This window comes from Homo sapiens, chromosome 4 (genome assembly GCF_000001405.40).
Source record: "Homo sapiens chromosome 4, GRCh38.p14 Primary Assembly".
Lineage (NCBI taxonomy): Eukaryota > Metazoa > Chordata > Mammalia > Primates > Hominidae > Homo > Homo sapiens.
This window is the reverse complement of record NC_000004.12, coordinates 174607926-174635343: the sequence shown is the minus strand read 5'-3', so window position 1 is coordinate 174635343 and position 27418 is coordinate 174607926. Positions and strand designations below refer to the sequence as shown.

The 27418-nt window shown below is 35.6% G+C and overlaps 2 long non-coding RNA genes across 2 annotated transcripts, besides 1 other annotated feature; both read right to left on the bottom strand.

Annotated features, from left to right (window-relative positions):
• Positions 1 to 42: 42 nt before the first annotated feature.
• Positions 43 to 12717, bottom strand: LOC105377551 (uncharacterized). Its single transcript, XR_939494.3, has 4 exons — positions 7755 to 12717; positions 4812 to 4931; positions 3479 to 3568; positions 43 to 633 (listed from the first exon to the last, which is right to left on the bottom strand). It is a non-coding gene; the product is annotated as an uncharacterized LOC105377551 (long non-coding RNA).
• An 8129-nt stretch (positions 12718 to 20846) lies between these two features.
• On the bottom strand, positions 20847 to 25247 carry LOC105377549 (uncharacterized). The gene is made up of 4 exons (XR_939492.3): positions 25041 to 25247; positions 23334 to 23453; positions 23100 to 23195; positions 20847 to 21388 (listed from the first exon to the last, which is right to left on the bottom strand). It is a non-coding gene; the product is annotated as an uncharacterized LOC105377549 (long non-coding RNA).
• Positions 21320 to 21520: a silencer, noted in NCBI's record as "peak5150 fragment used in MPRA reporter construct". NCBI's record gives its function as "represses an SCP1 promoter by STARR-seq MPRAs in K562 erythroleukemia cells {active_cell/tissue: K562}" and the evidence as "EXISTENCE:reporter gene assay evidence [ECO:0000049][PMID:32103011]".
• Positions 25248 to 27418: the final 2171 nt, after the last annotated feature.

The following is a 27418-nucleotide window of genomic DNA, read 5'->3' as shown; positions in this document are numbered from 1 at the left end:
GCACTGTGAAAGAAAAGCAGAGCTGGACATAAGTTAAAGCAGTGAAGGCAAATTTTATTCAGGAACTATTGCACTGGGGACAGAGAGACCTCAGTATAGAACGGGGCTGCATTCTGAATACCAGGATAAGTGGGGATTTTGGATAAGTGATGGTCAGTGGGTGGAAAATTACTAGAGAGGAAACCTCGAAGGGATTCTGGCTAAACTGACTTAGCAAAATTCTTGCTGAATGCAGCCAGGGTGATAAGATACTGAATGTGGGGGGGATAAGAAATTTGATTAGATATCAAAGATAAGGGATTTTCGTTAAACTGAACCAGCAGAATTCTTGCCTAATTGAACTAACTAGGCCAAGAACAGAACCCAAGTTGGGGCCTAATCAAAAAGGGATCTCAGAGGAGTATGACCAGAGCGTGGTCCAGGAGAGAATCCTATCATCATCTATAGCCCATTCTGTGACATGAGGAATGAATTGTCTGAACACTTGTTCTTCAAACAATGAAGGAATACTAGTTAAAATGCATGTGACATTCACTCACAGTTCTGTAACCTAATGGCTCTTGATCTTCCAAACTGGTCTCTGTTCTTAAGCCGTTACAAAATCTCTATTTTGATGTCAGGTTCCTTTTCTTTCTGGGGGAAAAAAATAACTCTTCTAAATGATCTGTTACAGAAATAAGTATGTTTATAGAGTCTTATTTAAATGACTTCTCCCTCCCCAAAAAGCAAATTCCTACAGATTGACCTTGTTTGAAATACTTATTCTGTGGAAGATCAAGCTTACAGGTATAACATTGAATTTCCTAAGTGGCTAATCAAAGAAAATTGGAATGAAATATAAATCAAAAACAATAAATTTATTAAAATTGCCAAATTATTTGACAGATAATAGAAAATCCAAAAGCACAAATTTATTTTTAATTGCCAGAAAGTTAAAGAAGATTGATAATAAATTATTAGATCCTTTCTAAGAAACACTGCTTTACTCTATCACATTTTATTTGATAAATACCAGAATTGAAGCTGGGTGCTTCCTTTGTTCTCCTCTTTATCATCAGCAAATTTTTTGAGTCGCCACATTATTAGGCCATGAAAACTTCAATGGGTAACAAACAGAAAAGCTTCCTCCACTTTCAGGAGCAAAGCAAAACAGGAAATAATCTGCAGGAACCGTGTGTCATAGACAAGAGTTTTCTTTTATTTTCACTTTAGGTTAGTAATTCTCCTGGGTAATCAATAATCTCTAAGCAAGAATCAGTCTTTTCTAAAGTGATGGAACTTATATTGATGCATTGCATATAGTGGATTGAAATATCCTTCCAACTTAGGTGATTAATTTGTGTTTTTTCCTTCTTGAATGAAAAAGAATATGAGAAACAAATGAACATGTTATGTTATTTGCAATTTACTTTAAATCAAATATATTAGAATCCATTTACTGTTGCGAATTGGTTATATTTGAAATATCTTTTTATATTATCTGTGAACATTAATGAAAATGCTGGGGTAAATGAAAAAAGATGAAATTTCAAGTCACCAAATATACAACTAGGGAAATTATGTTCATATGCCTTATTCACCTAATGGATAATATAATTTCATTTCTGAAAAGAAACTTTAAAAAGTAATATTAATGTGCTAGTATAAGTCATGAGTTGCTTAATGACAGGAATATGTTCTAAGAAATGTGTCATTAGATGATTTGTCATTGTGTAAACACCATAGGGTGTATTTCTATATACCTACATGGGATAGACCACTACATCTAGGCTAGAGTATATGGGATAGTCTGTTGCTTCTAGGCTACAAACCTGTACAGCATGTTACTATACTGAATAGTGCAGACAACTGTAATACGATGGTAAGTATTTGTGTTTCTAAACATATGTAAGCATAGAAAAGGTACAATAAAAATATAGAATAAAAGGTAAAATGCAGTACACCTATATAGGGCATTTAACTTGAAAGGAGCCTGCAGACTGGAAGTTGCCCTGAGTAAGTGGTGAGTGAGTATGAAGTCCTAGGATATTATTACACTACTGTTGACCTTTTTTTTTTTTTTTTTTTTTTTGAGATGGAGTCTCGCTTTGTAGCCCAGGCTAGAGTACAGTGGCGTGATCTCAGATCACTGCAACCTCTGCCTCCCGGGTTCAAGCAATTCTCCTTGCCTCAGCCTCCTGAGTACCTGAGATTACAGGCGCCCACGACCATGCCCAGCTAACTTTTGTATTTTTTAGTAGAGATGGGATTTCACCACATTGGGCAGGCTGGTCTTGAACTCCTGACCTCAGGTGATCCATCTGCTTTGGCCTCCTAACATGCTAGGATTACAGGCATGAGCCACCATGCCCAGCCACACTACTGTAGAGTTTTTAAAGGCTGTACACTTAGGCTACAGTAAGTTTAATTTTTGAAATTTCTTTAATAATAATTAACCTTAGCTTCATAAATTTTTTACTTAATTTTTTACCTTTTAATATGTGTTATATATTGTATTCTTAAGCAACAAAATATAGCAAGTTCACCTGCTGTTATAAGCATGGTAAATCCCTAAGTGATCAAAATGTTTGATGCTTATCACTCAGAAATACAGTTAAAGAGTATAAAAGGTATTTAATGTGCAGTTATCTATTTTAATGTCATTATTTTGTCCTCTACTTCCTAAGTGAGGTGACCTGAACCACTTTGGTGTCTTTACTGATCATTATAACTACTAACCAAGTATATACTGAAAGGTTTTTACTAAATAAGAATATAATTACAGACAGCAACATACTATGTGCTGCATACTTTTAGTTTCAAAAACTCCCCTGAATTATTTAAAGAACAAGTATACATATCCAAAATTGTAATTTTTAAATTTCCTATAAATTTTAGATCATATTCAGTAGGTATCTAAGGTTGTTACATTTTTCAAAGATTATACATTCTTGTATCTTATAAATGCAGCTAGAACATAAGCCACTCTATGCCTAAACCACAAGAGGGCTCCCTCTCATTGGTTTCGGAATTGTAGATGTCATTCAAAAAAAACCATGAGGCTAATTTCATTAATGATTGGGGGCAAGATTTTGGCATAAAAGGGTGTTTTAAATCTTTTTAATACAACAAGTCAATATAAACCTTATACTTTAACAGCTTCATTAAACAGTTTTGTGGCAGAACTTTCTCAAAACCCTTATTTACAAGCAATGAAATGGAGCCTAAGGATATAAGGCAATTTTGTTCGAGGCTACTGATGCTAGTCACTGTTGAAGCCAGAACTATACTCTCCATCAGTCTCTGTTCTTGATCTTCAAATTGTAGTAAGAGGGTTTAGCAACTGTGAGATAAATGCTAATATCTTCCTGTGGAGACAATTTTACTATAAAGTTTGAAAGAAATACATACTAAAAATGTAAAATTAGAATGAGTATAAAATCTGAAACAGAAACAGAAAAAAAATTCAGTGTTACAGAAGAGAATATGCCATAGATACCTGTTTTGTCTTCCAATTACTTTCCAATTTCACTAAGGCTTCTTGGTGGAAATGTTTAACCATCGCTGGAAACCATGCTGCTCTCTTGAGCTAATTTAAGAAATAGAAAGACAGGGTACTGATGAGTATGTATATTAATTTCGAAGTCAAGAAAGCATGTGCAAGGGTCTCATTAGCATTTAGATCCCTAACATGAAGTTCCTGTTCCACTTCTCTGTGCTTCATTTGAAGTCAATGTACTCTTCCACACAGTTGACTGAATGCCAAAATGTTGGATATGCTAAATGTAGACACAACTTTACATGCAAAAAGAAGATGAAGAGACAAAGAGAATTCTCGCTTAGTTCTCCATTATTATAGCATATAAGAAACCTCTACCTTAAAATACTAAAACAACTGGTTTATTTGATTGAGTTAACCAGCCATTAATAGTATAAAGATTTAGCACCATGGTATCACATATATAAGAGATAGAATCTATGGAATATCAAAATATGTTGTCAAGATGGCCACGTTTTAGTTACAATTATATGTCATGTTCTTTGCCTTATTTCAACGTGTGACTTAAAATCTATACCTTCAAAGTAACAATAGTGTCTTAATTGCAATGTTTAAACCACAAAGCAAATATTTGTTAATTTAGGTGTGTTCTTTGACTGTTACTTTCTGGCTTTCAACATATGGCTAAATTTCATTCTTAATATCAATTTCTACTTAATAGTGAAAATATAAATATTTCAATTAGACATTAAAAACTTTTATCTCATGCATGAAACTAATTTTGAAAAGCATTTGGATAAGATTCCTTGATTCATCTCTCCTTTATGTCTTTCTGAAGAAAAATAAAATATACTGTAAATCAACATCTTAGGCACATGGTAAAATTATAATTTAGGAATACAAAATATAAATAATATGACCCTCCAATTTCAGAATAATCTAAAAACATAGGAATTGGCATCCCTAAAAACCATGCTAATCTTCTAGAATTGTAATACAGAAAAGCACATTTTGGAAAAAGAAAGGGAACATGAAATTATTTGAACTAGGCTAACCTTTAAAAGTTAATTTGGCCAGCACAGTGGCTCACGCCTGTAATCTTAACACTTAGAAAGGCTGAGGCAGGCGGATGGAGTGAGCCCTGGAGTTCAAGAGCACCTTGGGCAACATGGCAAAACCCCGTCTCTAATTAAATAAATATAATACATAAATAAATACGTAACAATTTTTAAAAAGTTAATTTGGGTGCCTCTTTGTTCTTCATTATTCTCCTTTGTTTTTTCCTAAGTACATGTTTATTGTTTAATAAATTTATGATATTTTTATTGCTTACTGGAGGTTTGGTATAAAGGTTGAAGCCATGAGTTTACTTTCAATTTCTGTGTATTCATTAATAATAAAATTTACTTAAAATGTTGCAGCTTATAAACTTTTTGGCAGTCATTTTCAAAACCTGAAAAACAAACACATAAATCAAATGATAGTCATGGTTGAAACAATCAGAAGGGTTTTCAATGAATAAAATAATTTTTGTGTCACTCTTTCTGACAAGTTAGAAACTATTGCAATAGACCAGGCACAGTGACTCACACCTGTAATCCCAGCACTTTGAGAGGCAGAAGCGGGTGGACCACTTGAGGTCAGAAGCTCAAGACCAGCCTGGCCAACATGGTGAAACCTTGTCTCTACAAAAAATACAAAAATTAGCTGGGTGTGGTGGCACAGTCCTGTAGTCCCAGCTACTTGGGAGCCTGAGGCACAAGAATCACTTGAACCCTTGAACCCAGGAGGCGGAGGTTGCAGTGAGCCAAGATTGCACCACCACACTCCAGCCTGGGAGATGAAGTGAGACTCTGTCTCAAAAAAATAAATAAATAAAAACAAACTCTTACAATAAAGTCAACAAGTCAGAAGTTTAATTGAAATATTTCAAGATAAATATATTGTCTTTGCTTCTTCCAAATTTATGCTTGCCCTAGGTCATCACAGGTTTTAAAATTTAGGAGATTAATTAGGTTCAAGGTCCCTGCTCAGTATGTTCAGTAGAGCCAGAGGGACACCTGTGAGGGGAAGAACAATACCACATTAAATTACACAATCGGGGCATTGAAAAGCATTCTAAACCTTGGGGGTGGATTCATAGTAGTCCAGTTACCTAGAAGTCATGTTAGTTTTCTATAGTCATCTCTAGTGAGGAATAAACAAAAACAAAAACAAAAAACAGAGTGCTTGAGGCCAAAATGGTATGCATTTTCCTTTCTTAGAAATGCTGGAAGTCATAGCCTCTCGCCTAGTATTAACCTGATTTAGTCACCGAGACCTTTACCCAGTCATAGTGAATGTGACTCCATGCTTGAAACCATGAGTAAGCTGTTCCTCATACAACAAGATGGATAGTTTTTACAGTCTTTCCATTAATGGGGTGAGTTAAAGTTTAGTAATGAGGATCAAGATCAACAGAAGACTTACACACATTCTAATTCATGTCTCTAATACCACATGACTGTAATTGCTGTATATACATGCCACCACTAAAACTGCAATCCCTAGAGTAAGGACCATTTATTATTTATTTTTGAAACCTCAAGCACTTGTCTAGTAAGTAATCAGTAGTATGTGGTCGTCTAATAAATGAATCAATGAAATATAGCCAGTTATCAAATGTTGGTTATAGTGGAAATTGAGACATACAATGGATTGTCAGGGTGACTGTAGCCTAGATTATTTAATCATTTTCTTAAGAAAATTAAATATAACTATTCTGACTGGATATAAGTATCAATTCTATTTATGGCTTATTTGTCTTGTGCCTGTGTCCTTCCACATTACAGGGAGTTATATTACCTTTCAAAACAGATACAATAATGCATTGCAGTGCACCACACCTCTCACATTGAGAATTTATGGACTTACACATGCCTTGAAGTCGGAAAGTTGAGAGTAAAAAAGAATCTGAATGACAATATAACCACAATTTTTTTATAGTACATTTCATGTGGTTAAAAAGATTATTTAAAAATACAAAATGGTCTTTTATTTGTCCCAGAAAGTGTTATTATTACAAGGCAAATTTTTACTCTGATCTCTAATACGTTAATCACATGTTCCCAAAATTATCACCACTCAAATTTGCAATTATCCAGATGATTTATTATGATTTAGTCTAAATATTATTATCAATCCAGATGATGTATTATGATTTAGTCTAAATATTATTGTCATGACAATTGCTGAGTTTGTTTTACTGTTTGGTGTTCCCCCAAATTCCCTCCAACTCTATCACGCCAGATTTTTTAACCTGGCGAAGCCATTTCGAATCAATGTGATCCTCTGATTTTTTGCTCTCTCACTCCAAAGAAAACCAGAAGAATTTTCTCCAAGCAATTCTGCCTAGTTTTTTTGTGAGGCTCGGATGTATTTATAAACATAACAGGAATGGAAGCTGCCAGCAGCACTGTGCTAAATGGGCTCAGCATACACGCCAACCATGGGGACGTGTAAAAAGCAAGTCAGTGAAAGATTTACTAACATTTGCAATGTGTTTCCTTGGTAACGAGTTCACACTTCAGGGGATAACTTTGAAAGCCACCTGAAACATTTTGAACATTTTAATCCTTTTACACCAATGAATTACAATAGAATATGTGCAACTTTGAATTTTAACAATCATTGTCCCAGTGGGGCTAGTGGGTAAATATCAAAAACATCTGCGGTAGATTCTGGGATCTTGGCAAATTACATCAAGATTCAATCATTGAAACAAAAATGGGAAGGTAAATCATATTCAAAATATGCTTGTCAGTAATGAGTGTGAATATAATACTTTGTATATGGTGTTTATCACACTTTTATACATTGAGGAGGCAGAATGAGGTCAACCAGATGTTGCATACGGGTTTCAAGTATCCACGTTTTCAACCTTTTCACACAATTTTACGTAGTAAAACAACCTAAAGAAAATGAAAAAAAAAAAAGTGTATCCAAACCAATAGAGATTTACACATAGCAAAGGTGAGAATGACATTGAAAACTTTCTCAGTGATATTATATAACAACGTAAGTCATCTTGCAGAAGAATTACTGTAGTATCTGGAGGCTAACTGTATTATGTCAATTCACCCCTATGATTCAGAACTTATGGCATATAAAAGATATGTTAATATTGCACATATCCCTTTGGAAATCACTGCGATTCATGATGATGTCACTGTATACAATAATATGTGCTTCTACAGTGATTGATGGTTCTAGAAAGATTTCAAAGAACAGTTAGTACCTGTTGATGTAACTGGTGACAAGGTAACCAATAATATTGTCACCTCATCATCCTATAGTATTTGTAGTCCTCTAGCTGTAGATAGTTGTGATGATGTGTATTCAAGACTGAATAGGACACCTATCCTCAAGAAAAATGAAATTAGGAGACAAAAGATGAGTATTGGATTATAAAATCATATCCATATAAATGTAATTACTGAGAACACAAAGGGAATTCTACCAAAATTGTTTTAAAAGGTAGCATAGAAAAGTGATTAAGAGACTGTTGGAGCCAAACTACCTAAATTAAAAAGCTGTTTGCACCATCTGCTAGTAATAGGTGGTACTACTAGCAGCATCTACTTTAGGCAATTTTTAAACCTCTTTTTGCCTTTATTTCCCCTTATTAAAATGTGGATACTTTTAAAAATTGTCATGAAACTTCAATGAATCAATATTTGTAAAAGACACACATATAAGACTGCCTGTTAAAATGAAATAAACAAATCACATTTTTATTTGTTAAACTCAGACTACAAGGAACAAATGCTCACTTGGATTAATTCAGGTAATACAAGTTAATTATTAAGATACAGAAAAAATGATGAAAATAATCTTGGCCATTGGGATATAAACTCCAGGAAGGTGAGTGCACTACTGTTCATTAATGTATCCTGATTTGGAATATGCACTTGGCCTGTAGGCACTTGATAAGTATTTGTGTAAATAATAGTGATTGAAGCATGGGAAAGCCAGTATTTCTAGATACTGGAAAGTCATTTAAAATATACACCAAAACACTAGCAATAATTAACTACCTGATTAGACCCTGAGAGCAAGCATACACTACTTCCTACTCTACAACTACTGAGAGGAGTAGGAGAAAGTCTTCACCTGACTTGTAGTTTCTCTACAATCACTTTCAGCTTCTTCTCTCACCACCAAATGCTAACCTCCTCAGTAGATCCCCTAGTCAGACCCTCCAAAAACAAGAATTTAATTGCTTTGGCCACATTCCAATATAGCCTCCCTCTATTGGGCAGAGTTTTGCATCTGGGCTACCTCTCAATCTTTTAGCCACTTTATAAGTTGACTTAGTTTGGTTTACATAACCACTCCTGGTTTCATTAGCTGTGGCCAAGATAAGAGAAATCTCATACAGAAATAGTATAAAGATAGCATGCAATCTGTGTGTAAGAAAACTTTAAGAAGACTGTAAGAATGGCATTCGTTTGGAAGCTACCTAGAAAGGAACTGTATAAAATAGGAAAAAGTTTACTTCTCCTATCTAAGACAAATTGATTGAAAAATGGTTTCATTTGGGAAAGGGGGAAAACCCTAAAGTACACTAAATAATAAACAACATAATTATTAATAGTAAGATGCAACCACTTGCATGTAAAGGAATAGTTTATAAATAGTTCAACCACGAGGGTAGCTGTAAGAGGGATAAAATGTCCATTTAGGAGGACTTTATTTATCAGTTGTGTCACCAAAATAAAATGGAATTGGTTTAAAACTTATGGAACTAGCAGCAAATGTCAGGGGTTGCCCGTTCTCTGTGCTAATCTATTCTTGTAATTATGAGTATTCTTCAATAGACCCAGTTGCAGAGTGTAAAGTTGGTATTCCCGAAGACAGGAAACACAAACTAAGTTCCGCCATGGCATACATTGGCCTATTAAAACTCTTTACATGTTGAGAAAATTTTGGCAATCTATCCATCTGACAGTGGGCTAATATCCAGAATCTACGAGGAACTTAAACAAATTTCCAAGAAATAAACAACCCCTTCAAAAAGTGGGCAATGGATATGAACAGACATTTCTCAAAGGAAGACATTTATGCAGCCAACAAACATATGAAAAAAAGCTCATCATTGGTCATTAGAGAAATGCAAATCAAAACCACAATGAGATACCATTTCATGCCAGTTAGAATGGTGATCATTAAAAAGTTAGGAAACAACAGATGCTGGAGAGGATGTGGAGAAATAGGAATGCTTTTACACTGTTGGTGGGAGTGTAAATTAGTTCAACCATTGTGGAAGAAAGTGGGGCAATTCCTCAAGGATCTAGAACCAGAAATACCATTTGACATAGCCATCCCATCACTGGTTATATACCCAAAGGATTATAAATCATTCTACTATAAAGACACATGCACACATATGTTTATTGCAGCACTGTTCACAATAGCAAAGACTTGGAACCAACCTAAATGCCCGTCGATGATAGACTGGATAAAGAAAATGTGGCACATATACACCATGGAATACTATGCAGCCATAGAAAGGATGAGTTAATGTCCATTACAGGGACATGGATGAAGCTGGAAACCATCATTCTCAGCAAACTAACACAGGAACAGAAAACCAAACACGGCATGTTCTCACTCATAGGTGGGAGTTTAACAATGAGAACACATGGACACAGGGAGGGGAACATCACACACCGGGGCCTGTCAGGGGGTAGGGGGCCGGGGGAGGGATAGCATTAGGAGAAATACCTAATGTAGATGACAGGTTGATGGGTGCAGCAAACCATCATGGCACTTGTATACCTATGTAACAAACCTGCACGTTCTGCACGTGTATCCCAGAACTTAAAGTATAATAATAGTAAAAAAACTCTTCCTATGTTTACTTAAGTATAGCGCTTCTATTTTATTTTGCTCATTCACATAAATAAATTATTTGCCATACATCACATCTTCAATAACATTTATTGAAACAGATTATCTTAACTCAAAACTGTCACCAGCATTATTCCTAGAGTACTATTTCAATTATAGCCTGATTAAAGGGTTTCCAATTCAAACAACTTTAATACTATGATTGTCACAAAAAAATACATTATTAATAAATTGCAAAAAAGAGACACATATTGAATCAATCAATGCTTAATAGTCAAGAAATGAAAACATAGCTCTAAGTAACTTTTATAACACTTTTATTGAGGTATAATGCAGATGCCACATTTTTTTAATGTACAATTCATTGGGTCTTTGTATATTCACAGAGTTACATAAACATCACGACTATCTAAGTCCAAAATATGTCATCACCCTAAAAAGAAACCTCATATGCATTTCCAGTCATTCCCCATTCCCTCCCATCCTTCCCTTACCCATTGGTAACCACTGATCTATCTATTTCTGAACATTTCATTTGAATGAACTCATGTAATACATGGCCTTTTGTGTATGGCTTGTTTCACTTAGCATAATGTTTTTAAAGTTCATCCTTGTTGCAGCATGTATCACTATTTTATTTCTTTTTTATGGTAGGATAATACTCTATTGCATGAACATAACAGCTCTTGTTCATTCTTGTCACAGCATTTAGAAATACAATGATTAGAAGCATTGTTGGGACCACATGGTGCAGAGCACTCTTCTGGGCAAGAATAAATAGGTAAAAACGCCATCTACAAGCAATCATGGTTCAACTGTTTGGGCTAAAATGGTCAATCAATTCTGTTAACAAGACTCTAAAAATGACGACTCAAAACTTGATGTAACTCGACAGTCATCTCAGAAAATAAATTTTTAAAAAATTGAATATAGATATAAAGTGTTCAAAAGAAACAATCCTCAATGATATTTGAGTCTCAGTTTCTTTTTTTTTTTTTCTTTTGGAGACAGGGTCTCACTTTGTTGCCCAGGCTGGAGCACAGTGGCCATTCCCAGGCTCACAGGCACGGTCACAGTGCACTGCAGCCTCAAACTCCTGGGCTGAAGTGATTCTTCCACCTCAGCTTTCAGAGTAGCTGAGATCATAGGCACATGCAACTGCAGCCAGCTCTCCTCATATTTTTGAGAATTATATTCTCTCCTGTTTTTCCTATTATACAGGGCCATTTAGCTGATAAGAGGACAATCTGAGATACTGTGTATCTCATGTGTTTTTCCTTCTGTAATATGAAAATAACCCAGTCATTATACTCCTCAGATGCTTTTTGATTGAGTCATAACTGTATGATTGGTCAAAATATTATAGCATATTCAACTATTTTAAAATATATGTATTGGATCCAGGGAATGTACTAGACATTGTCCATGATGTAAATATATCCATTGTTACTTGGTATGGACATTTTAAGGCAGTAGCATATAATTGTCTTGTATTAAAATTATTATGTAATTTACTAAGCAAGTACTCTATAAACATAACATAGTTAAAATTCTATCAACCTATATGCTTGGAGAATGGGTATTTTTACTTGATTTTTAAAAATTCAGTATTATATAAGAACCTATTTTTGTAAAAAAATAAAATGGTGTCTGTTAAAATGAAATAAAACCAGATTGCATTTTTATTAGTTAGATTTGGACTGTAAGAAACAAAGCCACACTTGGATTAATTTGGGTGATAAAGGTTTATTATAAAGATACAGAGAAAATTATTAAAATAATCTCAGCCATTGGAATATAAATTCCTACTATTGGACATTTTTAAGAACTTGGTAAAATTGTATGTTTTGAAAAATGAGAATTTAAATGACAAAAGACAATATAAGCACAATTTTTATTGTGTGATTATGGATATACAGGAGTATACAAGTAGTAAATATAAATGCTTAATTTACTTTTCCTATCAAATATTAAATCCAAGAAAGCAAATCTAATAAAAATCCTATTAATTAAGCTTCCTTATTACTTAGTTACAGGTTAATTTTCAGTTTTATGTATTTATGGAGTTTACAATCTAAGTTTTTTAAACTTTAATTTGTTCCTAATCTCCTTGACCTTTCTTGCTATGTAACCCATGATATGGTTAATACCAAGAATTCTGTGAGTGATATGTTTCATGTATCTGCTTAGAAATAATGTCCAGAATCAGAAGGGACAGAACAAGGAAATGATGGAAAATACTAAGTGCATAGGACATTGAATGAGAAAATAAAAGCTTACATGAAAACAACATGCTACAGTCAACTAAAGACGACATGCTTGGCACAAAGGGACTAAACTTTCAGAAAAAAAAATAATGAATGGCATAAATTAATTTAAAGCTTTCAACAAAATTGTTGCTCTCAGATGGATGTTTCATGAAAAGAAACATTAAGTCTCATTGTGTTGTCATTAAGACATGGCCAATGGGGTGTAAGGCTGTAAGCCTTCAGAAGCTCATTACTTTAAGCATTCCGACACATGATTATAAAATTAAGTGTGATCCTGGTTGAAATTTGAATTAGGAACATTTCATACCAATCTGAATAAGTCTCATGTAAACAATAGCTGGTGTATACCTCAAAAAAACTTACAAAATATTCTTGTTTCCAATACTTAAAATTAAATGTGCATGTTTGGTATTATAACATCTTATGCTACTTTTGGGAATTTTTTTTTTGCCTTGTTTTTTGAAGTAGGGCACCTTTTCTTTCATAGAAGTCATAACACATCAATGAACAATAGGCCATTTCAGTTTTAACATATATATGTGATAAAAATAACAACAAAAATAAACAAACAATAAACTTCACTCCTTTTATTATTCCTTACACATGTAGAAATGCATACACATGCTTGGTGTCCAACATAGAAGATTATGATTTAATCATTGATTAAAAGATAGTCATCGAATACCTTGTGTGTTCCTAGCACTGTTCCAAGTGCCACTGTACTCCAGCCTAGGTGACAAAGCAAGCCCCATCTCTAAATTTTAAAAATTTAATTTTTTTATCATGGTGGATAAGCTTTTTGATGTGCTGCTGGATTCAGTTTGCCAGTATTTTATTGAGGATTTTCTCATCGATGTTCATCAGGGATATTGGCTTGAAGTTTTCTTTTTTTTGCTGTGTCTCTGCCAGGTTTTGGTATCAGGATGATGCTGGCCTCATAAAATTAGTTAGGGAGGATTCCTTCTTGTTCTATTTTTTGGAATAGTTTCAGAAGGAATGGTACCAGCTCCTCTTTGTACCTCTGGTAGAATTCAGCTGTGAATCCATCTGGTCCTGGACTTTTTTTGGTTGGTAGGCTATTAATTACTGCCTCAATCTCAAAACTTGTTATTGGTTTATTCAGGGATTCTACTTCTTCCTGGCTTAGACTTGGGAGGGTGTATGTGTCCAGGAATTTATTCATTTCTTCTAGATTTTCTAGTTCATTTGCATAGAGGTGTTTATAGTATTCTCTAATGGAAGTTTGTATTTCTGTGGGATCCGTGGTGATATCACCTATATCATTTTTTATTGCATCTATTTGATTCTTCTCTCTTTTCTTCTTTATTAGTCTCACTAGCAGTCTATTTTGTTGATCTTTTAAGAAAACCAGCTCCTGGATTCATTGATTTTTTGAAGGGTTTTTCATGTCTCTATCTCCTTCAGTTCTGTTCTGACCTTATTTCTTGTCTTCTGCTGGATTTTGAATTTGTTTGCTGTTGCTTCTGTAGTTCTTTTAATTTTGATGTTAGGGTGTCCATTTTAGATCTTTCTTGCTTTCTCCTGTGGGCTTTTATTGCTATAAATTTCCCTCCACACACTGTTTTAAATGTGTCCCAGAGATTCTGGTACGTTGTGTCTTCGTTCTCATTGGTTTCAAAGAACATCTTTATTTCTGCCTTCATTTCTTTACTTACCCAGTAGTCACTCAGGAGCAGGTTGTTCAGTTTCCATGTAGTTGTGCAGTTTTGAGTGAGTTTCTTAATCCTGAGTTCTACTTTGATTGCACTGTGGTCTGAGAGACTGTTATGATTTCTGTTCTTTTGCATTTGCTGAGGAGTGTTTCACTTCCAATTATGTAGTCAATTTTAGAATAAGTGCGATGTGGTGCCGAGAAGAATGTATATTCTGTTAATTTGGGGTGGAGCGTTCTGTAGATGTCTATTAGGTCTGCTTGGTCCAGAGCTGAGTTCAAGTCCTGAATATCCGTGTTGATTTTCTGTCTTGATCTGTCTAATATTGACAGTGGGATGTTAAAGTCACCCACTATTATTGTATGGGAGTCTAAGTCTCTTTGTAGGTCTCTATGAACTTAATTTATGAATCTGGGTGCTCCTGTATTGGGTGCATATATATTTGGGATAGCTAGCTCTTCTTGCTGTATTGATCCCTTTACCACTATGTAATGCCCTTCTTTGTCTCTTTTGATCTTTGTTGGTTTAAAGTCTGTTTCATCAGAGATTAGGATTGCAACTCCTGCTTTTTTTTACTTTCCATTTGCTTGTAAATATTCCTCCATCTCTTTATTTTGAGCCTATGTGTGTTTTTGCATGTGAGATGGGTCTCCTGAATATAGTACACTGATGGGTCTTGACTCTTTATCCAATTTGCCAGTCTGTGTCTTTTAATTGGGGCACTTAACCAGTTTACATTTAAGGTTAATATTGTTATGTGTGAATCTGATCCTGTCATTATGATACCAGCTGGTTGTTTTGCCTGTTAGTTGATGCAGTTTCTTCGTAGAGTCGATGTCCTTTACAATTTGGTATGTTTTTTGAGTGGCTAGTACCGGTTGTTCCTTTCCATGTTTAGTGCTTCCTTCAAGAGCTCTTGTAAAGCAGGCCTGGTGGTGACAAAAATCTCTCAGCATTTGCTTGTCTGTAAAGGATTTTATTTCTCCTTCGCTTATGAAGGAGAAGCTTATTTTGGCTGGATATGAAATTCTGGGTTGAAATTCTTTTAAGAATGTTGAATATTGGTCCCCAATCTCTTCTGGCTTGTAGAGTTTCTGCCGAGAGATCCGCTGTTAGTCTGATGGGTTCCTCTTTGTGGGTAACCTGACCTTTCTCTGTGGCTGCCCTTAACATTTTTTCCTTCATTTCAACCTTGGTGAATCTGATGATTATGTGTTTTGGGGTTGCTCTTCTCGAGGAGTATCTTTGTGGTGCTCCTGTATTTCCTGAAGTTGAATGTTGGCCTGTCTTGCTAGGTTGGGGAAGTTCTCCTGGATAATATCCTGAGGAGTGTTTTCCAACTTGATTGCATTCTCCTCGTCACTTTCAGGTACACCAATCAAATGTTGATTTGGTCTTTTCACATAGTCCCATATTTCTTGGAGGCTTTGTTCATTCCTTTTTAGTCTTTTTTCTCTAATCTTGTCTTCTCTCTTTATTTCATTAAGTTGATCTTCAATCACTGATATCCTTTCTTCCACTTGATCGATTCGGCTATTGAAACTTGTGCGTGCTTCATGAAGTGAAGTTTTTCAGCTCCGTCAGGTCATTTATGTTCTTCTCTACACTGGTTATTCTAGCTAGCAGTTCATCTAACGTTTTTTCAAGGTTCTTAGCTTCCTTGCATTGGGTTAGAACCTGTTCCTTTAGCTCGGAGGAGTTTGTTATTACCCACCTTCTGAAGCCGAGTTCTGTCAATTCATCAAACTCATTTTTCTTCCAGCTTTGTTCCCTTGCTGGCAAGGAGTTGTTATCCTGTGGAAGAGAAAAGGCATTCTGTCTTTTGGAATTTTCAGCCTTTTTGTGCTGGCTTCTCCCCATCTTTGTGGATTTATCTACCTTTGGTCTTTGATGTTGGTGACCTTCAGATGGGGTCTTTGAGTGGACGTGCTATTCCTTTCTGTTTGTTTGTTTTCATTCTGACAATCTGACAATCAGGCCCCTCTGCTGCCCGTCTGCTGGAGTTTGCTGGAGGTCCATTCCCAACCCTGTTTGCCTGCTATCAGCAGCGAAGGCTGCAGAACAGCAAAGATTGCTGCCTGATCTTTCCTCTGGAAGCTTCATCCCAGAGTGCACCTGCCAGATGCCAGCCAGAGCTCTCCTGTATGAAGTGTCTCCTTTGTCCTGCAATTCTCTGTCTCTAAATGCAGGCTTTCAGCAATATTTGCCTCCCTCTAGCCCTTTAGTTCTAGCTACCTTTCACTTTACTGGGCTTTGACATCTCATGAAGTTCTCCCTACAAAAGTGGGGTCCTGCATTCCCCTACTATTTGAGCTCCCCTCACACTGTACTTTGAATATTTTCACATAGAAAGTTCTAGAAGGACAAATCAAGGGCATGACACTGGGAGCAAGAATGTAAGAGAGCATGTGGCTTAGGTGAAGGAGTGGACCTGCCTAAAGGAAAGTTTCAGTCACAAAGATCTGGATAGCTCAGACCGTGCCTGCTGCTCAGACACCTGCGTTTATTTCTACCTTTTTTTTTTTTTTTGCTTGGCATATTTTATACTACTTCAAAGGTAAACTACCATCTTTCATGATAAACCTATATAATATATTGGTATATAATAACCCTAGAAATTATTTTACAAGCCAGTTTGTCATAGGTGAGTGGTGACTATCTGGGCCAATGGTGCAGGTGATAAGAAGTTACCAAAACAGTAATAGGTAAAGGAGGGCAGATTTATTAGAGAAGATAAGAAAATATATTACAAGGGAGCAACAGGCAGACTAGCAAGAGAGGAGCTGACTGCAAGGAGATAAAGGCTGGCTGGGGAATAGGGTGCTTGTGCTGTGTGCTAATGAGGGTTTTGTGCAGTATTGATAATGCCAAGGTTGCAGTGAGCTAACATGTATTTTTTATCAGCCGAGGATCTGGTGATAACTGGGTGCAGGAAGATTGTTAGTTATTTGCACAGGAGAGCTATGTGCCCTGGACCATGAAAAAAAGGCAGACTTATAGCTTATCTGCTTCCTTCTTTTTGCTTTCTCTTGGAAAGGAGCCAGCCTGACTCTTTTTCTCAATTAGGACTCCATACAATTAGAAGGATTGACTTTAGGATAGTTAGTGGAAAACATGAAGTTCAACTCCTAGCATGCCTTCCTTCTGCTACTTTACTAACAATGTGAACATAGGTGAGTTCAAGAAGCCTGGGTGCCTGCCATTGGCACTATCACCTTTTGAGAAAATGGTCCTAACCTGTTTTTTCCTTTTCTCCTTAGTCACTGTTGCTTCTACCATATGATCTTTAGGGAACTGCAAAATACTGCTAACTTAAAGGCACAGGAAGGTACTATATTTACTCTGCACATGTCAAAGGTAACTTTATATGAAGGGCAGGTAAGGAAATCCAGCCACCTTTATTGTGGTTGGCATGCATTCTGCCCAAAACAGATATTCTATATCAAAAAGCTAGAAACAAATAAAATCATAATGATCATTTTTAATTGTTACTATTGAAAAGTATTGTACTGGTTTTTCAAAATACATTATTTCATTTAATCTTTATGATACAATGTGAGTAGAGGTTAAGACTCCATTTTTACAGACAAGAAAATGAAAGCTTTTAGAGAAGTTGAGTAAAATGCCAGAAATAGTCAACCCCACTGGAAATGAGGGAAAAAAATGCCTGAGATAACATAGCAGGTAAGTGGCAGAGATAGAATTTGTTTGTTTGTCTCTTTGTTTATTTATTTATTTATTTATTGAGACAGAGTCTTGCTTTGTTACCCAGGCTAGAGTGTAGTGGCACAATCTCAGCTCACTGTAACCTCCACCTCCCGGGTTCAAATGCTTCTCCTGCCTCCGTCTCCTGTGTAGCTGGGATTACAGGCGTGCACCACCATGCCTAGCTATTTTTTTTATTTTTAGTATAGTCACAATTTCACCATGTTGGCAAGGCTGGTCTCAAACTCCTGACCTCAAGTGATGGGCCCACCTCAGCCTCCCAAATGGCAGAGATAGAATTTAAACCAAATAAACAACATGTATGAAAATGTATTAATAATTAATACTTATAAAAGGCAAGGTGTAGCTACGACCAGAAAAAGAGAACTTTGACATTATGTGTAAAAATCAGCCTAAAGACTTCATTCATTCAAGTTCACGGTGAGTCATAGCTCTTCCAGGCTGCAAGTAGATCTAATTGGCAACTGACTTCTTAAAAAAGAGAAGCAAAAAGACAATTTTCAACTTTTTCTTGTCAACTCATTTCAAAAGGAAGTTAAGGTTATCATATTCAATATCACCGTCTCTTAGTACAAACTGGAATGTTATTTTTCCCTGTTATGGATTCCTGATATTTTCAGTTAAGTTTATTTATTTAATTCCTCCCATACAGCATACATCACTCTCTATCCTGGAGATGCAACAGTAAACAAGGAAAGCAGTGTCCCTTCTGTCATGGAGTTTATATTCTAGTACAGGAAGCATAAATTAATAAATTACAAATCAGGATTCATGACATAATAGTTTATAAGAGCTTAGATACAGAATTTAAAAATGGGCTTGTCAGGAAAGATGTCTTTAAGCAAATTTAGTGGATTTCGTATGCTTTGCTCTATCCAGCTGCATCTCATGGATCCGTGAACTATTTGTTCTCAGTGCTTAGAAAATTTTGGTAAGACTTGGTCAAGGGGCCTACTCTGCCTACCACAGAGAGAGAATTATGAGTCCTTTCTCCTCAACAGTGATTAGTTTGAGGATGAGCACATAGCCAAGCAAGGCCAACCAGGGAGGAAGCTTAACTTTAAGTAGGAAGAAGTTCCCATCCTAATAGAGTTGCTTAGCTTGTAAGAAGTGGGCTGCTATCAAATTTGCAACTTAGAGGGAATTTGTTCAAGAATTTAGAAAGAAATGGAGCCATCAATACCAAATACAATTGTGATGACAGCAAGAATCTACTTCTGCACATTTTAGTTTGAGGCTAATAAATTTCCCTTAAATTGTTTTAGCTAGTTTGTGTTTGGTTCTTTTATCACTATACTGAAAGAATCAACAATTTTTCACGGTTGGCACGGAATCTTTGGTATGATTAATGTGAAGGAAACAGTTCTATGAGGACTATGGACAAAATAACATTCCTGGCAGAGAAATGGGCATCAGAAAATTTCTCAAGGTGGAAAATAATATTATATGTTCTAGAAACAACTGCATAATCCATTAAGAGAAGGCAACAAACAATGGTCACTACCACTATTAAAAAATCAACATTGCGCTGAAATTTCCTTGCCAATAAAAGAAAAAAGTAAAAGAAATTAAGGATAGCAGGGTAAAAAAAGAAGAGACATAACTGTTATATGTAAACATTTGTCTACATAAACAAATTCAAAAATATGTATAGACAACCTGTTAGAGTTTAGCAGGAGCTCTGCAGAGAGATCAATATAGTCAATGATGCTTTTGCACAACATCAATAACCTATTAGAGAATATAATAATATAAAAGATTCTATTTGTGATACCAGCAATAAACATAGAGTTCCTAGGAACAAAACATGCAAAATGATGTACAAAACTGCTATTCAGAAAATTACAGAATCTAACAGATGGACATAAAACAAAGTGAATATATCTTGAGAAAGGCATAATTAATAAGTAGGAAGATTCACTGTTGTAAATATTTCTATTTCCTCTCAAATTTACCTAGAAGTTGAACGTGATTCCAATGAGAATATTCAGAAAACTTTTCACGATGCTACATAAGTGAATTAGAAAAATAGAAGTCCAAGAACACCCCAGAAAATTTGGAAACCCAGCCAGGCCATTCAAGTCAAATAGCTCTTCTTCAGTATCCTGCTCAAAGGGTGCTCTACCACTAAGAGCACTACAGTGTCCCAAGGGCTCCTGAGTCATACAGAATCCAAGGCTTCACCCAGGCTTACGGAATTAGATATATTAACAAAAATCCCCAAGTAAGCTACGTTTGCAAGAAAGTTTTCAAAGCAATCACCTAGTGTTCATCATTGTACCTTCTCTTTATAGATCTGACCTTTTTGACCTTTGATTATAAATTAAGGCACAGGCTTTTAGGCTCAAAATCCCAAGATTTAGATAACATGGTTTGTGTTAATTCTATAAGATTTGTTTAATATGGTCAAGAACTGATCTAAATGTTCCAGATGCATTTTCTTTATATAAAAAGGTGAGAAGAGTGAAAATCTGTCTCAAAAACAAAAAAGAAACACACACACACACACGAAGAGGCAGGCAGATCACAAGGTCAGGAGTTTGAGGCCAGCCTGGCCAACATAGTGAAACCCCATCTCTACTAAAAATACGAAAACAATTAGCTGGGCGTGGTGGCAGGCACCTGTAATCCCAGCTACTTGGGAGGCTGAGGCAGGAGAATCACTTGAACCTGGGAGGCAGAGGTTGCAGTGAGCTGAGATTGTGCCACTGCACTCCAGCCTGGGCGACAGTGCGAGACTCTATCAAACACACACACACACACACACACACACACACACAAGAAATATTATCCCAAATTAGTCATGTATACGTTGCATCCTACCATATTTAATTAAGGAATGCTATTTTATCTATTCTCTCTCCATAAGTCACTTCTCAAATGACATACAGAGAAATAAATGAGTAACGTCATAGGTTATACATGCAGGTAAAATAGGGAAGTAGTGAGTGCTCTCTAATACTTCAGTAGTAATATTGCCTTTTCTTTCTTTGCTCAATTTAGTGTTTAATTTTTGTGGTTGGCTTTCTTGTTCTTTTTTATGGTAGCAACACGCAAGCCTTTACTGGTTTTGAAGTTTACCCTGCTAAAATTCTTCCTGTAAATACAGGAACTTCCCTCTCTATTACAGTTCCTGTAAATACAGGAACTGTTAACTTCCCTCTCTATTATCAGAAGATCAAGATCCTGAGACATTTATTTGTTCCTTCCATCATCATAGCATTACCAGTGTATCAGAGTAATAGTCATAGAACAGAACAAATGTACTTTTTCTCCTTTGTATTTCCTTTTACCAACTTCATCTGTATTCCATGGAAGTCATTCCTTTGCCTTAAGGTGGCTTCAGATTCCTAGTAAAGAATGTGAAGGTAAATAGAATGAATATTCGGGCTTCAGATACAGGAGACTTTCGAGACTACAATAAGATTATAGACTTAAATAAAAAGCTTTGTCAAAAGAAGGATGTTCTAAATGCTTTAGGAGCCCAATAATATAACAAGGACAGAAATGGTCTAATTGTTAAGATTTCAGTAAGCCACGGATATTTATAAACCAATGGAGGGTGGAAGAATATGCTTCCCCTACCCCCAATATACCTCTTTGATATAAGGATTTTTTTCATATAAAGGCACTTGATAAACAGCAGAAGCAAAAGGACATTCTAATCTTCTCTTTTCTTCCTAAAAACAGGAGATAAAAACTGCCATGTAAAAAATGCCCTCTCTGTACCAGGAGAAAAAAATATTTGACAGAGAATCATAGCCAAGAGAATTCTGTACAAACAGACTTTGTTAAAATAATTCTTATCTTTCATTAGCCTCCCCACATAATTTAGTTACTTTTCCAGAATTGCTGCTCTTTGTTAAACCTGATAATATGGTTTAGATGTTTTTTTCCACTCCAAGTCTCATGATGTAATGTGATCCTCAGTGTGGGAGGTGGGGTTTGGTGGGAGGTGTTTGAGTGGATCCCTCATGAATGGTGATATGGGTTGGCTGTGTCTACCCCCAGATCTCATCTTGAATTGTAGCTCCCATAATTCCCTTGTGTTGTGGAAGGGACCAAGTGGGAGATATTTGAATCATGGGGGCAGTTTCTCCCATACTGTTCTCATGGTATTGAATAAGTCTCACAAGATCTGATGGTTTTATAAGGGGAAACTCCTTTCTCTTGGCTCTCATTCTCTTCTGCTGTCTGCCACCATGTGAGATGTGCCTTTCACCTTCTGTCATGATAGTAAGGCCTCACCAGCCATGTGGAACTGTGAGTCCATTAAACCTCTTTCTTTTGTAAAATGCCCAGTCTTGGGTATGTCTTTATCAGCAGTGTGAAAACGGACTGGTAATAGACTGGTAATGTACAGTAATGGACTGGTACCAGTAGAGTGGGGCACTGCTGAAAAGATACCAAAAAATGTGGAATTGACTTTGAAACGGGGTAATAGGCAGGGGTTGGAACAGTCTGGAGGGCTCATAAGAAGATAGGAAAATGTGGGAAAGTTTGGAATTTCCTAGAGACATGTTGAATAGCTTCACCCAAAATGCTGATAATGATATGGACAATAAAGACCAGGCTGAGGTGGTCTCAGATGGAAATGAGGAAATGTTGGGAACTGGAGCAAAAGTGACTCTTGTTATGTTTTAGCAAAGGTACTGGCAGCATTTTACCCCTGCCCTAGAGATTTGTGGAACTTTGAACTTGAGAGAGATGATTTAGGGTACCTGGTGGAAGAAATTTCTAAGCAGCAAAGCATTCAAGAGATGACTTGGATGCTGTTAAAGGCATTCAGTTTTAAAAGGGAAACAGAGCATAAAAGTTCAGAAAATTTGCAGCCTGAAAATGCGATAGAAAAGAAAATCCCATTTTCTGAGGAGAAATTCAAGCCAGCTGCAGAAATTCGCTAAAGTAGTGAGGAGCCAAATGTTAATCCCCATGACAACGGGGAAAATGTCTCCAGGGCATGTCAGAGGTTTTCACTACAGCCCCTCTCATCCCAGGCCCTGAGGCCCCAAGATAACTTGGGGCTCCTGGGCCTGTCAGAAAGTGGCATTCTTTACTTACCACTGGTCAGGAACCCTGTACAGGAACTGTGTAGACAAGGTATGAGGCCAGTTTTCCCAAGGGATTTTTATTTGCTCTATAAGTCCAGTTTGATTCCTTAAAGGAAAGCACACCATTTCAGTCAAAACCTTGGTAAAATAACCAGTTTCTATAATTGTGTCCTGTTACAATTGAAAACAGATTTTTCTTGCACTTATGCAAATAACTATATTGCCATAAATAAAGAATACTCACAAGTAGTTTCCAAATTCTGGAGAAATCAGGTAGAGAGAAACAAATATGTTCCAAATTTTGTTCATAGGAGTATAGTAACTTGTTAAAAGATGTCAATAGCTCAAAAAAATTTCCTTGGCTCTGAAAAACAAAACGAAGGATCAAGAACATTTTAAGAAAAAAGTCAAAAAGATTAGTTCAGTCTTCTGTTAGTTCAGTTCATGCAGGTAATTCCTGTTCTGCATGATATTCATGAACATTTCAGCTCTCTGTGAGACCTGAAAGTTTTTCCTCTATTCTGATGTCACAATCTCCATAGTTATCAGAAACCTGCATTCGAGAGAACCTGTTAGGGCTTTATAGGTGATTATAAAACCAGCTTCTAATGAGGACCAAAGGCTGGGTGTAGTGGCTCACACCTGTAATCCTAGCCCTTTGGGAGGCCAAGGTGGGTAGAGCACCTGACGTCAGGAGTTCGAGACCAGCCTGGCCAACATGGTGAAACCCCATCTCTACAATAAATACAAAAATTAGCCAAGCATGATGGCAAGTGCCTATAATCTCAGCTACTCAGGAGGCTGAGGCAAAAGAATCACTTGAACCCAGGAAGTGGAGGTTGCAGTGAGCCAAGATTGCACCATTGCACTCCAGCCTCGGCAACAAGAGCAAAATTCCATCTTAAAAAAAAAAAAAAAAAGCAATTGTCCATTGTGATGGTTAATACTGAATGCTCACTTGATTGAATTGAAGGATACAAAGTATTGATCCTAGGAATATCTCCTTGCTCCTTAGCCTGCAGATGGCCTATTGTGGGACCTTGTGATGGTGTGAGTTAAGACTTACCATAAGTTAGTTAAGTATTAACATACATGCATATATATATTCCATTAGTTCTGTCCCTCTAGAGAACCTTGACTAATACATCTATGGATGACAAAATGTTTTAGAGAAAACATAGTCAAAGACACAATTGACAAGGACATTTGTTTCCTCTGTGGTATACAATAATTTAATATAACAATTATAATTATTACTGGTAATGTACACTAAGTCATATCAGAATTAAAGAGTTTCTCATAATTTTGGAACATATACCAATAACATATTTATACAAATATAGCCCAAAGAAAACCAAACACCATTTCACATTTTACAATGCTTCCTGTATAATTTTTACACCAAATAAGACAAATATGTCATTTTTTGGACTTTAGGGAACCTAATATCTTAAAGGATTAATTAGGTCAGAAAAATACATAATTTATAATTTGATTTTGGAAAGTTTGTCAAATATCAAAGGTTTAAAACACTTGATATCACAAAATAGGATCACAAGTCAATGTAAAATAAATCATTCATTTAACCAAAATGGTAATTGAAGGATTTCAAAAAATGGCAAAAACCTTCATTCTTTGAAAGAGGAGACTTAATTTTTCAGCCAATAAGCCCCAATAAAAACAGCATGAATTCAATTATATTTGTTTTCCAATATTTTATAAACAATCTATAAAATTTTCATCTTGACCCATAAGATACAACTTCCCTTTTATAGCCTTTATAGCTTTTATTAAGGAGTTAATTCATGCTTCAAGAAAACCTTGTTACTCTGACACAGGGGCCTATATGCTGGTCTTTCATCAGTGTGCATTTGATGTTAATAGTTAATTTATAGAGAAAATGAATTTACTTTATCTCTCAAAATTGGCCTTTACATTCTCGCCTGCCCACCTCTTCCATGATAATCCCTTGGCCTTGAGGAGTTGAATAGCTTTAATTTCTGCCCCTGTGTCTCAGGAACACAGTTTATTTTGATTGGCATCTTCTACAGGGCCTGCAGATGAGGCTTTAATTGCTGTCAGAGTTTGAGATTTGGCAGTACTTGGTGTCCTTTTGAGACTCAGGAGTCAAATCCTTGTAGCTCAATGTCACAAGAACCTTAAAGGCACATACAGAAAGATACAAGGATATAACAACTTTAATTTTTAAAAAAATTTCATCTGTTTTTTTTTTTAGGCAAACCAAAACTTAATAATAATGGCATAGGAATTACTTTGATTAAACATAAAATCTATTAGGCCAGTTATCAAAAGACAGAGGAAAAGACCTGCAGTGCACAGAATATTATGTTGAAAGAAAACGTTTCCTTTAGGCCTTTAACAAAACATTGTTAGGCCAGGCATAGTGGCTGATGCCTGTAATCCCAGCACTTTAGGAGACAGAGGCGGGCAGATCATCTAAGGTAAGAGTTTGAAACCAGGCATGTCAATATGACAAAACCCTGTCTCTACTAAAAATACAAAAATTAGCTGGGCGTGGTGGAAAATGCCTGTAATCCCTGCTACTCAGGAGGCTGAGGCAGTAGAATTGCTTGAATCTGGGAGGTGGAGATTTCAGTGAATCTAGATCTCACCACTGCACTCCATCCAGCCTGGGCTACAGAGCAAGACACAGTCTCAAAAAAAAAAAAAAAAAAGAGAAAGAAAACGTTGCTAGCATCAGCCCACAGCGAATAGAACTTGAAGGAATAAAAACTTTTATGATCTGAAAATAAGTTGAAGAAGAGCATTACTATTTCGCACTTTCTAAAAGAGAAGAGAAAACAGAAAACATCAAGAAACAATACAAGTTGAACTTTGGGTTTAAAACAAATTAAAATCTCTTATAATTCATTAAGAGTAAATCAATCCTTTAAGAAAATTTTATTGTTCTAATCAATTCTTTTGTGTATAAGTGTTTTTATCATCAAATTTAATCTCTAGAAAGACCACTATAAATCCCTTTAATTATAGACAACTTGATCATATTAACTTTTTTTGGGTTTTGTTTGTTTGTTTGTTTTTTAGACAGAATGTTTTCCTACAATATATTTTTATTGGAAAATACCCAAATAATGAAATATATATTATTTAATTTAATATAAATTTTGATTCTAAATTATGACAAGTTTGTTTACAAGTGTTTATCCCATTACATTTACCTAATTATTTTATTTTAATCATTTACCAAGATTATGAAAACTGTGATAGGCATCATTTAAAGTTATGAAACTCCCCATTGCAAAATTATAACTGAGACATTAAAAAAGATATGACCTCACTGACTCCATCTTGCTGCTAACCTCCAAGCTGTCCTTGTTCATTCTTGGGCATAGGCTGAACTAACTTTGGAAGGAACTTAGTTTATAGTTTAGCTTTGAAAAAAGATGGTAACAGTCCTCTTACAAACAAACCTCCTTATTGCCTGTGGTCTGGACTGCCTAAAGCCAGAAGATTATGGGTTGTGGTAATTTTATTAAATAATTTGAGATGTAGCTATTTTCATTAAACCAATATCAATATCTTATCTATTAAAAATTACACAAGAAAGATCATTCCATTTTGGGCTGTGTTTATAGTTTTATAAACCCTATGCCAAATTTTGACACCTTATAGTATTTGGCAGGGATAAGTATGCAATTGCTTGATAATAATTTTTAAGACATTTCTAATACTACTTTACTAATAATTTTAAGCTACCTTATTTATTAAAGATTTTACTTAAGTCACATAAAATTGAAAAAGCATTTGACTAGTCTTTCCTTTTTCTCCGATGAAGTATTTGATTTAAGGACTTTTATTTTTCTTGAAGCCAATTAATAAGAGCTCTTTTATATATTTTAGTAGTGAAATATTGTGTAGAGAACACACAAATACATAGATGTGTTAGGCATAATGATAAAAATACACTTTATGAATTCCTACGACCTCCTTTTTTTTTCCGTATCTTAGACTTGCAAACTCTTGATAAACTGATTCATTATCCTGGCAGTTGTCAGGTAAACAGCCCTAAATTTGCATATTGAAGGAAACAACTCTTAGATTAAAAATCAGATTAGCAAAATTTACATCTCAAGGTACAGAGAAAAAAGGTCTGGTGATGCTACAGGGAGATTAAAGATAGATGCTAAATCAAACATAAAATTGTAGAAATCTATCACAGGATTGCATGAGGAGAACAATTTTATTTAGATAGGGACTATCTATCTTCTAACTGGATCTCTGAACTCTGGGCAGAGTCCACACTGAATCCTGGATCTCTAAAAAGGGAGAATTATTATGAAGCTAGAC